Source organism: Homo sapiens, chromosome X, assembly GCF_000001405.40.
Source record: "Homo sapiens chromosome X, GRCh38.p14 Primary Assembly".
NCBI classification, from domain to species: domain Eukaryota; kingdom Metazoa; phylum Chordata; class Mammalia; order Primates; family Hominidae; genus Homo; species Homo sapiens.
Genome location: NC_000023.11, coordinates 63,703,308 through 63,716,926, shown reverse-complemented (window position 1 = coordinate 63,716,926; position 13,619 = coordinate 63,703,308). Strand labels below are relative to the sequence as shown.

Here is a 13,619-nt window from a genome sequence, read left to right as displayed (position 1 = left end):
GGGACAGGGCCAGCAGTAGCCCTGAAAAACAGTGCAGCCAGATGAACTTGAATTTGGGGCAGGTCCTAGAGGTTCACTTTCCCTTGTGGGTTGGGATAGGCTGAGAGTGTGTGCGCAGTGGGTAAGGTCCCTCCCAACTGAAAATATTGGGAGAAAGTCCAGCCCAGTAGGTAGAGTGTAGCATCAGTAGGCAGCAGACAGAGGGTGGTTTGTTGTCATGACAAGTGACTGGTATTATTGGTCCAACGTCAGGTTGTTTAGTGTGCTTCAATAAGCAGGTAAAGCATGGTGACCAGGTATCCAGAGGCAGGGAGTATGCAGTGAAAATGGTTTCTTAATTTGTAGAATGAAGGACTTAATAAAAATTCATTCACCCAACAGATGATCATCAAATGGCTACTGAGAAGATACAGAGGTACTCTAGAACTTCAGCCCATCCTCTAAGAGTCTGATAGTAGATGTGAAAACTTATGCATAAGGGAGGTGATTTGCCAAAGCTCTGTCACTTTAGTCAAGTTCTTTACCTTTGCCAAATCTCACTTTTCTCCCCTGAAAGATGGAGGGGTTGGAACAGATATACTCCAAGAACTTTTCTAGCCCATTCTCCATAATTTCTTCTTCTTTTTTTTTTTTTCTTTGAGACAGGATCTTATGCTTTTGCCCTGGCTGGAAGTGTAGTGGTGTGATCATGGCTCGCTGTAGCCCCAAACTCTTGGGCCCAGGCAGTCCTGCCACCTCAGCCTCCTGAGTAGCTGGGACTACAGGCACCTGCCACCACACCCAGCTAATTTTTTGTATTTTTTGTAGATGCAGGATTTCACCATGTTGCCCAGACTGGTCTTGAACTCCTAGACTCAAGCAATCCACCTGCTTCAGCCTCCCAAAGTGCTGGGATTATAGGTGTGAGCCACCACCCTGGCTAATCTTGTTTTAGTTGAGGTAAAATAAACATAACATCACCTTCCCCATTTCAATCATTTTAAAGTATACAATTCAATGCATTTGCAATGTTGTACAACCATCACCACTATCTCATTCCAGAACTTTTTTATCACCACAAAAAGAACTCCATACCCATTCACACTCATTCCTCACTCCTCTCTCCTCTCAGTCTGTAGATGGTATAATGTTTTGTACAAATGTTAGCAGGTAGAAAATACAGGATAGTTAGGGAAGGGATTAAATTCATAGGAACTGAGGTCAGGAAGAGGCATATGACTTCAGTAGCTATAGGAGACTACATCAGCCTGGATACAGGCTAAAAGGAGTAAAAAACATAAGACAGATGTTGCGGGAAAAGCCTCAATAGGGAACAGGTGTCATCTAAGGCATTGGTACTATCCTGGAGGATCAGAAAGTAAATGAGACCCTGCCAGACTTGCCTTTAACTTGTTAGTAAATGGCATAGCCCAAACAAGATCACATTCCAACTCCAAAGCCAGTGTTTGCCACATCACCATCCTGAAGTGTTTTTTTTTTTTCTTTTCTAAATGTCTGTCAAATAATTGCAAGCTTTCTGTGAGATGGGTAACTCAGGTCAGCTTGATTTCAGCATTCTGCTTAGCGTGGCTTTCATCATGAAATCGGTACTTCCATATCTGAATAGCTTAAATGGAAGTCTTCTCTTCATTTTAGCTCAAATAGAAAGAAAATCAAAGGAAATACAGAATAAATGAACTTCTAAAGGTCCTGGCAGAGCACTCCTTTTTTGGCTACTTAACTAATTAACCTAAATTCTATCAACGTCTAAGCAGGATAATTCCATGAAAACCAATGAAAGGAGAAGACTTAGGGGTAGAGTGGAGTGTAGTTCTTATTAGAGGCATCTAGTTTTCTTGACTGGGAAGGAAGCTATGTTATCTGTGAAGGGTTTCCCTACACTCCAATCCACCCCCATTCTAGCTTGAGTTCTCACTTTAAGAAGCCTTGTCATGGGCAGAAATCATCAATACCTCCAGCCTCGACTAAGTAAGTCTCCATTCGTTGGGAAGGGTTTTTGAGTCTGGTTGTCAAGGAGGTGGCATTTGGGGTATAAGAAATTTGGGACAATTGCAAAGCAATTACAAAAGTACTTCCTAAAACTCTTCCCTGACTAGAGAGGACAATGTTTCTCATATGTTGCTTCATTGTTCTAGGGGCAGATGATGCCAACCTAGGGGATAATAACAAGAACAGCTAATATTTGACTCTGTGCTAGAAACTGTTTTACATGCACAGTTTAATAAGGATTAAATAAACTACCTTATTTAATCCTCACAACAGCCCCATGAGATAGATAGATATTATTTCTATTTCAGAGGTAAGGAAACTGAGGATCAGAAAACTTAAAGTTGCTTACTCTGTGTTACTCAGAGGTAGTTGTAGAGCCAGGATTTGAAATCAGGATCCCGAGTCTTCACCCTTTACCACTGTCACAGACTGTCTCTCCTAATTTTGGCCTAAGAGTCCAGAGACTTTGCTTCAATCCTGACTGCCACTTTGATGCATCCCCCTGTCTGGCCTTGGATTTCTCATCTGGGAAATGGAAATAAAAAGGTTTGCTTGCCTGCCTTGCAGGGCTGTTTTGAAGTCCAAGTAAGAGAGTTCGTGGGAAGACACTGTTCTTGAACTAGGTTTTCAGAGAAGCCAGGGACAAAAGAAGAATGATAGAAAAGAGTAGGGAAGGCCTTCCTGAAGAAGGAGTAGGGGGCAGGCTTTAGAAGGATACAAGGTACAGAGGTGTGAATAAACAGAATGTGTTGGAATGAATGGGAAGGGTAGCTTGCCTGAGGTCACACGTCTGTGTTGAAGAGCAGTGAAACTCGGTGGGTCGGTCCCATTTTAATGTGCTGATGGGAAGCCATGAATGCAAAAACAGTATATTCACACAGGTCTTTTCTTTTTCTCTTTTTGTCTGTTATATAACAAAAATTTTCATTGCTCTGGTTGAAGCTCCTTATTTCTCATTGTGTTGGTGCTGGAGAGGGAGAACAATTTGTTAGCAGCCTTCTTATTATGATACTTCATATAATTAGTGAGAGTTATTAAATCTTCCCTTGAGGGGTAGAGGAGTAGTTTCTGTGTCTGACTGTACATACCGTGCTGATTGTCTTTGTGCCAGGCAGGAATGCTAAGTGCTTCCTGGCATGCACATTCAGGAATCCCTAAGCACTTCTGATCCTCCTGAAAGCTGAGACTGGGGCTCCAAAACTGGGTGTGTGTGTGTGTGTGTGTGTGTGTGTGTGTATGTGAAGTGGGAGCTCTGCTTGCAACTAACCAGGTTCCTCTCAGTCCCTCACATTCACCTTTGTATCCACACTTCACCATTGCTTCACTGTGGTGGCAGAGAAAAGGCCTTTTGGTGACCTTTGTTATTGAAGAGTTCACGTTCCCTCCAATCTCTCCTTTATCTGTGTTTTGCCCTTTTGTAGTGTTTGCTGAGATTTTTGGCTGGCAACTTTATTCAGACAGAGACAGAGCTCATGATTAGAATGATTAGAATTATCTGAAAAAGGAAAGGGCTGCCTTGGGAGACAGTAATCTCATCATTCGTTGTGTTCAAGCAGATAGGCTGTGCAATTGCTGGCAGGGTATGTTGTCAAGGGAGTTTATGTATTGATTGGGGAGCAAGGGGTGGCATGGACTAGTCCACCTTCCATTTCCTTTATAAACTGATTCTATAGCTCTGAGAGTCTATTGTTCAATAAGACTGGCAATAACCCCTCACCTTCTCAAAGGATGTCTTGCTTTTTACTCCTCTCTGGTTGATTAGATTTGGCCTTTGAAAATATCAAGGTGAGATTTAGACAATACCGCTTACCCATTCTCTTCTCAGAAATATTACACTGCTGGAGACAGGGGCCGGCTGGCTTTCTAAGACACTCCTTGAGCCTTTATTGACTTTATGAAGGAATTACTGGCTGGATATTATGGTAGTTTTCTTTTAGAACTACTGATCCATTTGCAGGGAGGGGCTACTAAAGATGTTGAAGAGGTTGTACCAAGGGCTGGGTAATCATCACTTTATCATATGGAACAATGGTGAGTCTATTGGAATATGCATATAGGTATATAAATGCAAGGAGAGAGGTTGACAAGGATTTCACACAAAATCCATAACCATGGTTTCCTCAGGAGAGGTAGAATATGGTTAGGATGAGGAACAATCAGGGGAAATTTCACCTTATCTAGACAGTTTTAGCTTTTTATGTATTTATTTTAATAGAGATATAATTTCCATACCATAAAATTTACCATTTTAAAGTATACAGTTTAGTGGGTTTTAGTATATTCACAAAGTTGTATAACCATCACCATTGTCTAATTCTGGAACATATTTTTAAAATCATTTTTAATAGATAAAACTGTATATATTTGGGGGATGTAATGTTTTGATATATATATATGTATACACATATTGTGGAATGATTAACATATCATCATCTCGCATACTTATCATTTTTTGTAGTGAGAACATTTAAAACTGTACTTTCTTAGCAATTTTCCAATAATAATAGTATTCTATTACATAACTATGCCATATTTTGGTTTATCCATTCATCAATTAATGAACATTTGGGTTGTTTCTACTTTTGGTTGTTATGTATAATGCTACTATGAACATTTGTGTACAAGAATTTGTGTGAGCATGTGTTTTTATTTCTCTTGAGTACGCACCTACGAGTGGAATTGTTGAATCATATGGTAACTATATGCTTAACTTTTTGAGGAACTGCCAAAATATTTTCCACAGCAGCTCTACCATTTTACATTCCTGCCAGCAGTGCGTGGGAGTTCCAATTTCTTCACATGCTCGTCAATACTTGTTATTGACCTTTTAAATTATTACAGCCATTCTAGGACGTGTGAAGTGGTATCTTTTTATGGTTTTGGTTTGCATTTCTCAGATGGCTAATGATATTGAGCATCTTTTCATGTATTTATTGGCCATTTATATGTCTTCTTTGGAGAAATGTCTATTCAGATATTTTGCCCATTTTTAAGCGAGTTGTTACTTTATTGTTAAGTTACATATATTCTGAATACTACATCTTTATCAGATATATGATATGCAGATATTTTTCCCATTACTGGGTTGCCTTTTCACTTTATTGATGGTATCATTTGTAGCACAAAGTTTTTAATTTTGTTGAAGTCCACTTTATTTTTGCTTGGTTGCTTGTGTTCTAGGTGTCATATCTAAGAAACTATTGTCTAATGTTACAGATTTTCCTCTATGTTTTCTTTAATGACTTTTATAATCTGATTCCATTCAGATATTTCATCCATTTTGATTTAATTTTTGTGTATAGTGTAAAGTAGGAGCCAAAGTTCATTCTCCTGCATGTGGATATCCAGTTGTACCAGCACCATTTGTTGAAAAAACTATATTTTCCCCCTTGAATAATCCTGGCACCTTTGACAAATATCAATTCAGCATGAATGTAGGATATATTTCTGGACTCCTGGTTTTATTTCATTGATCTTTATATCTATTCTTGTGCCAGTCCCCCATTCTCTTGATTACTGTAGGTTTGTAGTAAGTTTTGAAATCAGAAAGTGTGAGTCCTCCAACTTTATTCTCCTTTTTCAAAATTGTTTTGGTTATCCTAGGTCCCTTGAAATTCCATACGAGTTTTAGTACCAGTTTTTCAATTTTCTGCAGACACCAGGTGAGATTTTGATAGGTATTGCGTTGAATCTGAATTAATCTGAGGAGTATTGCTATATTAGCACCATTAAATCTTCCAATCCATGAATAGGAGAGGTTTTTCTATATAGTTCTTCTTTACTTTCTTTCAATAATGCTTTGCAGTTTTCATTGTATAAGACTGCACTTCTTTTGTTAAATTTATTCCTATGTATTCTTTCTTTTCCTATTTAAATGTGATCATTTTCTTAATTTAACTCTCAGATTGTTCATTGCTAGTATATAGAAACATAATTGATTTTTATATCCTGCAACATTGCTGAACTTATTTATTCATTATAAAAGGTTTTTTTTTGGTGGATTCCTTATGATTTCCTGTATATCACGTTATATGATCTGTGACTAGAGATAGTTTTACTTCTTTCTGATGCAATGTCTTTTATTTCTTTTTTTGTCCAATTGCTCTGGCTAGAACCTTCAGTATAAGGTTGAATAAAAGTGATGAAAGTGAATATCCTTGTCTTGTTCTTGATTGTAGGATGAAAGCCTTCAGTCTTTCACCATTAAATATGATATTAACTATGGATTTTTTATAAATGTTCATTATTATTTGGAGAAAAGTTCCCTTCTATTTCTAGTTTGTTTAGTATTTTTTTTTTAATCATGAAAGGGTGTTGGATTTTGCAAATGCCTTTTCTGTGCCTGTTGAGATGATCATGTGGGATTTTGTAACCTTATTTCACTCATATGGTGTAATTTACATGGACTGATTTTCATATGTGAAGCAACCTTCCATTCCTGGAATCGCATCTGGTAAGGTGGGCAATTTGTTTTTAATATGTTGCTGGATTTGGTTTGCTAGTATTTTATTGAGGATTTCTATATTTTTGTTATTTGGAAGGGTTTGTGAAAGATTGATGTTAGTTATTTTTTAAATGTTTGGTAGAATTCACCAGTGAAGCCATCTAGTCCTGAGGTTTTTTTTTTTTTTTTTTTTTTTTCTCCCATGTGGGAAGTTTTCAAGATTGAATGAAATTATTTATTAAATCTTTTTCTTGTTATAGGTCTTCTCAGATTTTCTACTTCTTCTTGAGTCAGTTTCTGTAGGTTGTGTCTTTCTAGGACTTTATCCATTTCATCAGGTTATGTAATTTATTGGCATACAATTGGTCATAATATTCCCTTTAATTCTTATTTCTGTAAGACTGGTAGTAATATTTCTTCTTTCATCCATGATTTTAATAATTTTAATCTATTTTTTCTATTTTAACTTTTTGCAAGGCAAATGTGTTCTTGTATAATGTATAATTTTAAAAATAGAAAAAAAAATGGAAGGCACAAAATAAAAATGCACATTAAAGATATGGGTATATTGCTAACTCCCTGGCTGTCTCTGTGGGTATCAGTTTCTTTATTACGAAATTGAGAGGATGGATTACTGTTGCTGAAGTTTTTGAAAGCCTTTGGACTATAGTATTTCTATGTTTGAGCATGGGATTAAAGGACATAGATGAGAATATTTGTGGACGGAAAATAGACCAGTCTGGGAGGAACCCAATATTCCTAAAGGAAGTAGTAGGAAGTAAGAGTGGAAATACAGATTGGAGTCAGATTATGGTAATATTTTAATGTCAGGGTGAGGGATTTGGACTTGCTTTATAATCAGTGGAGAGCTATTAAGGATTTTGGGTTTATGGGATTAGCCAGTCAATGTGATAGTCAAGGAAATTGGTCTAATAGTGGTATGTGGGAAGGGTAAAAGCTAGAGGATCACCCAGGGACTTGTTCAGGTATAAAAGTATGAGAGCAATGACAGTGAAAATAGAAAAGGGAGTAATAAAGACCAGAGATTGTCTCCAATTTGGAAAGCACTCCGTGGTTTAGAAGGAGGAGGGAGGAGTGAGTTGTCTTGCTCATCCTCATGTCCTTCACAGTTAGTGGTTAGGCACAGAATAGGTCCAAAGTATTTGTTAAATTGAACTGCATTAATCAGCCTTGCTTCGGAGTTCAGTGAAGTTCAAAGGCTGGTTTCCCCAGCCTTTAAGCACTCTAAGAGGACTTCCAGGACAGCCTTTCAACCTGGCATGTTCCAGGCATTGTCTATCTTCTTACTTGTCACCCAGGCATCTATATGTGCTAATTGCAGCATCAATGAAGAAAAGGTACACATTAGCCTGCACGGATTGTTGGGCAGGGTTGATAATGGCTCTCTGGTCTGATATTTCAACCAGGGCAGATAAGCATATGGGCTGACCTGTGTCAGTGCACTCTGACATACATGCAGACAAAGACCTTCCTCTGTACAGAACAGATAAGCTCTCAAGAGCAGAGGACTTAGAGGTTAGACCAGAAAGTCTTATCATTAGGCCCGGGGGATGTTTTGTGGGAACCTGGGATCAGGAGAAAAACAGTTAGGCCTTATATGCCACCTTTTTCTAGGCTAAGAAACATCTTCCCTCAAATGTCAGCTCTATAAAGGGCAGTGATTTCTGTCTTTTTTATTTGCTGTTGTATCCCTAATACCTGGCACATTATCCACACTTGGCATAGATTTAATGAATGAATGAATCTGTTAGTAGTTCTTTGGGATGAAAGCAGCATCTTAACCTAAGGAATGGGCTTCTGGGGTTGTTGCAGTAGAGTAGATGAAGGTGTCTTCTCAGAAGCTCCTTATGAAGGACCCTGCTACACAGGCCTTTAGTTATAACCAGAAGGACTTCTCTACCAAATTCTTTATAAGGAATCTGTTTTCACTTGGCTGCAGTTGCCTTCGTCTTTTCTCATTGTTATTTGGAACGACAGTGTCATGGTGTATAGCTTGAACCTAAATGTGGTTCTATTTCTGCCTTTACATCTGCTTCCCCTTTCCTTCATATCCTGTCTTCATTCCCACTAGAATTGTTCAAAATATTCATCTTATTCCAGCTATCCAAAAGTGAACATTTGGACCTGACTTTTCTTAAACTCCTAAGAAGAAAAGAAATGATTCTTATTCCTTAAAGGCCTGCCTATGTTACCCTTTCCATAGCAGAGTTTAGCTTGCTTTGTGAGAAGCAGGGAAAAGCTAATGGATTATTAAGAGGGTGAGGTTTTCATTGGTACAAATAGACAGCATCATGTATATGAGATGTTTGTTTCAGTGCCTTAAATCACTTTTTTTTTTTGCCCAGGTCTATTCTTTTGAATAATTATCTCTCATATTGCTTACTGATTGCATTAAAGGACAGCTATTAGCATATTGAAGACACAAAGCTGACCTTTTAGAAGCTGGAAAGATATTTATAATGGAGCACTTGCAGAGGGTGATAGGTTTTGGATAGAGATACATTTTGCAAATTTGGCTGTATATACAAAATACATAAAAACAGAGTGAGCCCTATTTACTTTGGCCTGTGACAATTCAGTGAGATATACGCTGGTGACATCTCTAAGTTCACTGAGTGGTAATCATGCCCCCTCACCTCCTGTGAGAAAAAGAAAGAAGGAAGAATATACAGAGTTGGGAAGTAACTACCATCCTTCTAGTTCTATCCCAAAGCCTCTTCCCCCCGAGTGATTACCCACTAAAAGGCTTTTCTGATGGCAGAAATAGGGATGCATCTAAATTGTGTGATTTTAGCTTCTTGAGGCAGGAATGTGGAAAAAACTGGGGTTTAAGGAGGGAAAATATGGAAAATATGGAGAATTGATTAAACCTGTTGAGACAACTGGCAAGCTCTTTGGCTAATTACCCCTGACAGATTTTGTCACTCTGCCAAGCGGGCCCACCCTTCGTTTCCTTCCTGCCCCCATGGTTTCCCCACTTCCTAGGACTGTGGGGGGTGGCGGGAAGGGCTATCTTCTTGGGCCTTCTTGATTTTCAGTCAAAGTCATCTAGAATATCCAGAGACATCTCACTCGGCCGTCCCAAAGGTTTTTTTTTTTTTTTTTTTTTTTTAGCTTCCCACTGCCTTCATGATTTAGGATGGACAGTCTCAACTGTTAGCGAATTTATCAGTTTCTGATGATTCTAATAATTGTCTGCCCACCTTGGCCCAAGCCCTTTCCTTTTCTTTTCCTGTCTTCCTTAGAACCAGAGGCACAAAGATTCTAGCACAGTGTTTAAAAGCATAGGCTCTAGAGACAGACTGGCTCCTATCCCAGCTCCTCTGCTTCCTGTGCGACTTGGGATAGATTACTTAACTTCTCTGAGCCTCAGTCTCCTTTTCTGTGAAATGGTGATAATAGTGGTACCTATCTAGCAGGGCTGAATACAGTATATTGCAAGCTCTTAGCACAGTGAATGGTGTATAGTTGGTGCCAATTAATAGCTATTGCTAGTATGTGGTGGGGAAGTATTCTCCCATCCCTATCCCAGTCTTGAAGAGGTAGAGATCTTTGCATGTCCAAGGCACTTTACAGTCAAATTTTGATGATTATTTGTATATCCCATCACAGAAATCAACACTAAACTTTGTTTTCAAGACACCCACTCTAGTATTTAACTTTGGCCTCTATACTTGCAGGTGCATAAATGCTGTGTTTTGACAGCAATCCAAATGTGGCACTCAAGATGTATAGCTTAACCTTTTTAAAAATCCAGTTGTGCTACCTAGATGTGCTCCAGCATGAATGAATTTAGTCCCTCCACTCTATTTACAGATAGGTCACCAGAGACCTAGAGAAGATTAAACCCATGCCCAGGGCAAAAAGTCACCCTAGAGCCAGGTTTCGAATTCTACTTGCACAGGTCTCTGGTTGAAGGTTCTCTGAATACCTGAGAAGTTCAGTTCATCCTTTTTCTACTTGCCTGGAAACCTCCCAAAGAAGGAAGCTAACTCATTATTTTTCTTTTGCCTGCTTCCACAGCTCTGGGTGAACCAGGAGGATGAGGTGGAGGAGGGGCCCAGCGATGTGCAGAACGGACACCTGGACCCCAATTCAGACTGCCTCTGTCTGGGGCGGCCACTACAGAACCGGGACCAGATGCGGGCCAATGTCATCAATGAGATAATGAGCACTGAGCGTCACTACATCAAGCACCTCAAGGATATTTGTGAGGTAACCATGGTGGTTCATGTGGAGGCACTTCCACGAAGAACCAGCAACCCTCCTGGGCCCTGCCTGTGACAGTCCCAAGATGTTGGAAAGGGCACATAGCCTCCCAGATTCTGTTCAGTGAGGTGAAACTGCTTCCTTAGGGTCAGTGAGGTAAAACTGCTTCCTTAGGGTTTCTCAATCTCTGTTTTTCACATTTTTCTCTCTGTCTAGTTTTAATATTTATTCATTTATATTCATTGTCTCTCTGTCTTTACCCTTTCTTAGTCTTCCTCCTTCTCTCCCCTGCATCTCTACCTTTATCTTTTTGGTATCTGATCCAGTTACAGCCATCTCATGTAAGGGCTTAACCTCACTCATTAAAGCAAAATGCATCTCCCGCCAAGCCAGTGATTCACAGACTTCAATATGTACCAGAGTTTCTGGGGGAGCTTGTTAAGCAGCCCTCTCACTCTTGTCCCCCAAGTCATGAATTATCAGTCTCAGGTAAGGCATGAGCATTTTTAGGTTTAATGAGCATCCCTGGTGATTCTGATGCTGCTGGTCCTACTCTCTCACTTGGAGAACACCGGTTGTGAGTTTAAGCAGAAAAGAGCTTGGAGACAGGACTCCACAGAAGATGGAGGCTGGATGGACAAACCTGGGCTCCTTCAGTATGTCACTTTTTTTCCCCAAGAGCTGTCTCTCTACATTCCCTAACCCCATTCCTTCCATCTCTCTGTCCTAAATGAAGATGAGAGCCTTCACTCTCGTACTCTCTTAAGCTTAGTAGCTGCAAGTTGGCATTTTTAAAGGGCATTTTACTGAACAGGAAGGGAAAACCAATGGGAAATGAAGGCAGCGTTTTAAAAGGATTAAACACACACACACACACACACACACACACACACACACACACACACATTCTCTCTTATATCTTTCTTCTTGACTCGGAAAACTCTGCATTGAATCTTTTTGTCTCCTTCCTTCCAGAGGAGGGGTTAGGTTCTATTTTCTGTCCCCCAGCCTAGGGTCCACTGTGGAGTCAGTAGTACAGCTCCAACATTTTTCAAAGTTCTTATTTCTCTACATCAGTACTGCCCAATGGAACTTCCTGCAATGATGAAAATGTTCCATGTCTGCATTCTCCAATATAGTAGCTATAAGCCAACAATTTATGGTTGTTGAAGAGTTAAAATGTGGCTGGTATGACTGAGAAATGGAATTTTAAATTGTATTTACATTTAATTAACTTTAATTTAGGTAACCATATATCTGTAATGACAGCCACATTGAACAGTATAGCTCTGGAAACACCAAGGCCAAGGATTTTGTGCCTGAACTTTCTTTATCTCAACTCATTTTCTCACCCCTTTCAGGAAGATTAAAAGTTATCTTTTCCCACTGCCCCACTCCCTGCCCTGCCATGAGGCAGATAGAGTAGAAAGAACAAGAGGTCTGGGGACATGGAATGCTGGTTTTTCACATTCTAACTTGGTCATTAATTAACCCTGTGGGCTTGAAGATACCCCTTAACTCCTCTGACATTCAATTTTCTTATTTTTCCAATGGGCTTCATTATAGCAATCTCTTAAGTTTGTTGAGGAAATTAAGTAAATAGAATATTGCAATAACCTATGCTGTATTTGGAAAAAGGTAATTTTCTTTTTTGCCTCCTTTTTAAATTTATTCACCCATCCATCCATATGTCTTTTTCTTCTTCCTCCTCCCTTCACATCAATGGCTGATGCTAAAAAAATTCCCCCTCGGAATGTGCTACATGGCATTCAGCATCAAACCACTGACATTTCATTCATTCGGCAAACTTTTAGTGGAATTCTGTTCTGTGCCAGGCCTGGACATAACTTCTAGCCTCAAAGTGTCGTACTTTAGAGCAGCATCTGCATCACCTGGAAACTTGTTATAAATGCAAAATCTTTGGCTCCAACCCAGACTTACTGAATCAGATTATGCATTTTAACAAAGTTACTATTTGATGTATAATACATATTAAAGTTTGAGGAGCATTGCTCCAAAATGATACCTATATTACAATGTCATAGTGTTTTTCATAAAATTAAGTACAATCTATTCTTCGCTTGGTAGCTGAGGGATGCTGTCAAGATCTAAGTCAGGTCATATCACTCCTCTGCTCAGAACCTTCCAATGGCTCACCATTTCTACCTGAGTAAAAGTCAAAGTTATTATTGTTTACAGGGGCCTGTGTGGTCAACCCATCCTTGCCTCTATGACTTTCACCTCCTGCTCCTTTCTGCTATGCTTTCGTTACTACTCCAGCTATACTGGCCTCTTGCTTTTCCTTCAGCATTACTAATATATTCCTCCCTTAGAGCCTTTGCACTGGTTTTTCCCTCTGCTTAAAGCATTCCCCTCCCCACCCCACATTTACATGGCTCCCATCCTCAGCTCCTTCAAGTCTTTGCTCAAATATCATCTTCTTGAGACTTCTCTAAGCATTCTATTGAAACCTGTAACCTTGCACTGCCTCTGCCCCTTTCCTGCTTTATTTCTATCTGTTACATTTATCTATCTGACATATTATATATTTAACTTATATATTTTGTTTATTGTCTGTCTCCTCTACTGGAATGTACTTTCCATGAAGGGCAGGGATTTTCATCTATTGATTTACTGATATATTCCCCCAGCACAGTGCCTGGTACATAGTAGATGCTCGATAAATATTGCTTAAAGTCAAAATTAAATATAATTGCTCACATGTATGTACTGCTTTGATTGGCAAAGTACATTCACATCATATGTCATTTGATCTTCAAACAGGACAAAAGTTGTTATTGTTATTCCTATTTTCTAGATCAACAGATTTAATCTCTAAGAAGCAAAATTATTTTCCCAGAGCTCTCAGGTACTAGCCCAGTGGAAGTCCTTAGAAGTTTCTCTCAACTCCCACACATCTTGGCCTCTTCCTATGGGACACAGACTCAGGACAGCA

General features: G+C 39.3%; 1 protein-coding gene across 27 annotated transcripts in view; it reads left to right on the top strand.

The window, feature by feature from the left end:
- Positions 1 to 13,619, top strand: part of ARHGEF9 (Cdc42 guanine nucleotide exchange factor 9) — a 150,248-nt gene that overhangs the window by 68,288 nt on the left and 68,341 nt on the right. For all 27 annotated transcript variants that reach the window (NM_001173479.2, NM_001353922.2, NM_001353921.2 and 24 more), the window contains one exon: positions 10,478 to 10,669. In NM_001173479.2, the coding sequence (NP_001166950.1) occupies positions 10,478 to 10,669 (192 nt within the window). The remainder of the gene's footprint in view (positions 1 to 10,477; positions 10,670 to 13,619) is intronic.